Here is a 4586-nt window from a genome sequence, read left to right on the forward strand (position 1 = left end):
GTAAATTTGTTTGAGTTCATTGTAGATTCTGGATATTAGCCCTTTGTCAGATGAGTAGGTTGCGAAAATTTTCTCCCATGTTGTAGGTTGCCTGTTCACTCTGATGGTAGTTTCTTTTGCTATGCAGAAGCTCTTGAGTTTAATTAGATCCCATTTGTCAATTTTGGCTTTTGTTGCCATTGCTTTTGGTGTTTTGGACATGAAGTCCTTGCCCACGCCTATGTCCTGAATGGTAATGCCTAGGTTTTCTTCTAGGGTTTTTATGGTTTTAGGTCTAACGTTTAAATCTTTAATCCATCTTGAATGGATTTTTGTATAAGGTGTAAGGAAGGGATCCAGTTTCAGCTTTCTACATATGGCTAGCCAGTTTTCCCAGCACCATTTATTAAATAGGGAATCCTTTCCCCATTGCTTGTTTTTCTCAGGTTTGTCAAAGATCAGATAGTTGTAGGTATGCGGCATTATTTGAGGGCTCTGTTCTGTTCCATTGATCTATATCTCTGTTTTGGTACCAGTATCATGCTGTTTTGGTTACTGTAGCCTTGTAGTATAGTTTGAAGTCAGGTAGTGTGATGCCTCCAGCTTTGTTCTTTTGGCTTAGGATTGACTTGGCGATGCGGGCTCTTTTTTGGTTCCATATGAACTTTAAAGTAGTTTTTCCAGATGGAGGTGGCGGGCGGCACGGAGCGGGCGTGCTGAGCCCCGGCCGCCGGCCCGGCATGGGCGTCTCCCGCGGGCCCTCCGCTGGCCGGGGCTAGGGCCGGATGGAGCCGCGGGACGGTAGCCCGGAGGCCCGGAGCAGCGACTGCGAGTCGGCTTCCGCCTCGTCCAGCGGCTCCGAGCGCGACGCCGGTCCCGAGCCGGACAAGGCGCCGCGGCGACTCAACAAGCGGCGCTTCCCGGGGCTGCGGCTCTTCGGGCACAGGAAAGCCATCACCAAGTCTGGCCTCCAGCACCTGGCCCCCCCTCCGCCCACCCCTGGGGCCCGGTGCAGCGAGTCAGAGCGGCAGATCCGGAGTACAGTGGACTGGAGCGAGTCGGCGACATATGGGGAGCACATCTGGTTCGAGACCAACGTGTCCGGGGACTTCTGCTACGTTGGGGAGCAGTACTGTGTAGCCAGGATGCTGCAGAAGTCAGTGTCTCGAAGAAAGTGCGCAGCCTGCAAGATTGTGGTGCACACGCCCTGCATCGAGCAGCTGGAGAAGATAAATTTCCGCTGTAAGCCATCCTTCCGTGAATCAGGCTCCAGGAATGTCCTCGAGCCAACCTTTGTATGGCACCACTGGGTACACAGACGACGCCAGGACGGCAAGTGTCGGCACTGTGGGAAGGGATTCCAGCAGAAGTTCACCTTCCACAGCAAGGAGATTGTGGCCATCAGCTGCTCGTGGTGCAAGCAGGCATACCACAGCAAGGTGTCCTGCTTCGTGCTGCAGCAGATCGAGGAGCCGTGCTCGCTGGGGGTCCACGCAGCCGTGGTCATCCCGCCCACCTGGATCCTCCGCGCCCGGAGGCCCCAGAATACTCTGAAAGCAAGCAAGAAGAAGAAGAGGGCATCCTTCAAGAGGAAGTCCAGCAAGAAAGGGCCTGAGGAGGGCCGCTGGAGACCCTTCATCATCAGGCCCACCCCCTCCCCCCTCATGAAGCCCCTGCTGGTGTTTGTGAACCCCAAGAGTGGGGGCAACCAGGGTGCAAAGATCATCCAGTCTTTCCTCTGGTATCTCAATCCCCGACAAGTCTTCGACCTGAGCCAGGGAGGGCCCAAGGAGGCGCTGGAGATGTACCGCAAAGTGCACAACCTGCGGATCCTGGCGTGCGGGGGCGACGGCACGGTGGGCTGGATCCTCTCCACCCTGGACCAGCTACGCCTGAAGCCGCCACCCCCTGTTGCCATCCTGCCCCTGGGTACTGGCAACGACTTGGCCCGAACCCTCAACTGGGGTGGGGGCTACACAGATGAGCCTGTGTCCAAGATCCTCTCCCACGTGGAGGAGGGGAACGTGGTACAGCTGGACCGCTGGGACCTCCACGCTGAGCCCAACCCCGAGGCAGGGCCTGAGGACCGAGATGAAGGCGCCACCGACCGGTTGCCCCTGGATGTCTTCAACAACTACTTCAGCCTGGGCTTTGACGCCCACGTCACCCTGGAGTTCCACGAGTCTCGAGAGGCCAACCCAGAGAAATTCAACAGCCGCTTTCGGAATAAGATGTTCTACGCCGGGACAGCTTTCTCTGACTTCCTGATGGGCAGCTCCAAGGACCTGGCCAAGCACATCCGAGTGGTGTGTGATGGAATGGACTTGACTCCCAAGATCCAGGACCTGAAACCCCAGTGTGTTGTTTTCCTGAACATCCCCAGGTACTGTGCGGGCACCATGCCCTGCGGCCACCCTGGGGAGCACCACGACTTTGAGCCCCAGCGGCATGACGACGGCTACCTCGAGGTCATTGGCTTCACCATGACGTCATTGGCCGCGCTGCAGGTGGGCGGACACGGCGAGCGGCTGACGCAGTGTCGCGAGGTGGTGCTCACCACATCCAAGGCCATCCCGGTGCAGGTGGATGGCGAGCCCTGCAAGCTTGCAGCCTCACGCATCCGCATTGCCCTGCGCAACCAGGCCACCATGGTGCAGAAGGCCAAGCGGCGGAGCGCCGCCCCCCTGCACAGCGACCAGCAGCCGGTGCCAGAGCAGTTGCGCATCCAGGTGAGACGCGTCAGCATGCACGACTATGAGGCCCTGCACTACGACAAGGAGCAGCTCAAGGAGGCCTCCGTGCCGCTGGGCACTGTGGTGGTCCCAGGAGACAGTGACCTAGAGCTCTGCCGTGCCCACATTGAGAGACTCCAGCAGGAGCCCGATGGTGCTGGAGCCAAGTCCCCGACATGCCAGAAACTGTCCCCCAAGTGGTGCTTCCTGGACGCCACCACTGCCAGCCGCTTCTACAGGATCAACCGAGCCCAGGAGCACCTCAACTATGTGACTGAGATCGCACAGGATGAGATTTATATCCTGGACCCTGAGCTGCTGGGGGCATCGGCCCGGCCTGACCTCCCAACCCCCACTTCCCCTCTCCCCACCTCACCCTGCTCACCCACGCCCCGGTCACTGCAAGGGGATGCTGCACCCCCTCAAGGTGAAGAGCTGATTGAGGCTGCCAAGAGGAACGACTTCTGTAAGCTCCAGGAGCTGCACCGAGCTGGGGGCGACATCATGCACCGAGACAAGCAGAGTCGCACGCTCCTGCACCACGCAGTCAGCACTGGCAGCAAGGATGTGGTCCGCTACCTGCTGGACCACGCTCCCCCAGAGATCCTTGATGCGGTGGAGGAAAACGGGGAGACCTGTTTGCACCAAGCAGCGGCCCTGGGCCAGCGCACCATCTGCCACTACATCGTGGAGGCCGGGGCCAGACCAGCAGGGCGACACTCCCCGGCAGCAGGCTGAGAAGGCTCAGGACACCGAGCTGGCGGCCTACCTGGAGAACCGGCAGCACTACCAGATGATCCAGCGGGAGGACCAGGAGACGGCTGTGTAGCGGGCCGCCCACGGGCAGCAGGAGGGACAATGCGGCCAGGGGATGAGCGCCTTCCTTGCCCACCTCACTGCCACATTCCAGTGGGACGGCCACGGGGGGACCTAGGCCCCAGGGAAAGAGCCCCATGCCGCCCCCTAAGGAGCCGCACAGACCTAGGGCTGGACTCAGGAGCTGGGGGGCCTCACCTGTTCCCCTGAGGACCCCGCCGGACCCGGAGGCTCACAGGGAACAAGACACGGCTGGGTTGGATATGCCTTTGCCGGGGTTCTGGGGCAGGGCGCTCCCTGGCCGCAGCAGATGCCCTCCCAGGAGTGGAGGGGCTGGAGAGGGGAAGGCCTTCGGGAAGAGGCTTCCTGGGCCCCCTGGTCTTCGGCCGGGTCCCCAGCCCCCGCTCCTGCCCCACCCCACCTCCCCCGGGCTTCCTCCCGGAAACTCAGTGCCTGCTGCACTTGCCTGCCCTGCCTTGCTTGGCACCCGCTCCGGCGACCCTCCCCGCTCCTCTGTCATTCCAATTCTGTGAAGAAAGTCATTGGTAGCTTGATGGGGATGGCATTGAATCTGTAAATTACCTTGGGCAGTATGGCCATTTTCACGATATTGATTCTTCCTACCCATGAGCATGGAATGTTCTTCCATTTGTTTGTGTCCTCTTTTATTTCCTTGAGCAGTGGTTTGTAGTTCTCCTTGAAGAGGTCCTTCACATCCCTTGTAAGTTGGATTCCTAGGTATTTTATTCTCTTTGAAGCAATTGTGAATGGGAGTTCACTCATGATTTGGCTCTCTGTTTGTCTGTTGTTGGTGTATAAGAATGCTTGTGATTTTTGTACATTGATTTTGTATCCTGAGACTTTGCTGAAGTTGCTTATCAGCTTAAGGAGATTTTGGGCTGAGACGATGGGGTTTTCTAGATAAACAATCATGTCGTCTGCAAACAGGGACAATTTGACTTCCTCTTTTCCTAATTGAATACCCTTTATTTCCTTCTCCTGCCTGATTGCCCTGGCCAGAACTTCCAACACTATGTTGAACAGGAGCGGTGAGAGAGG

General features: G+C 58.1%; 1 pseudogene; it reads left to right on the forward strand.

Annotated features, from left to right (window-relative positions):
* On the forward strand, nt 664-4051 carry DGKZP1 (diacylglycerol kinase zeta pseudogene 1; annotated as a pseudogene).

This window comes from Homo sapiens, chromosome 13, assembly GCF_000001405.40.
Source record: "Homo sapiens chromosome 13, GRCh38.p14 Primary Assembly".
NCBI classification, from domain to species: Eukaryota; Metazoa; Chordata; class Mammalia; order Primates; family Hominidae; genus Homo; species Homo sapiens.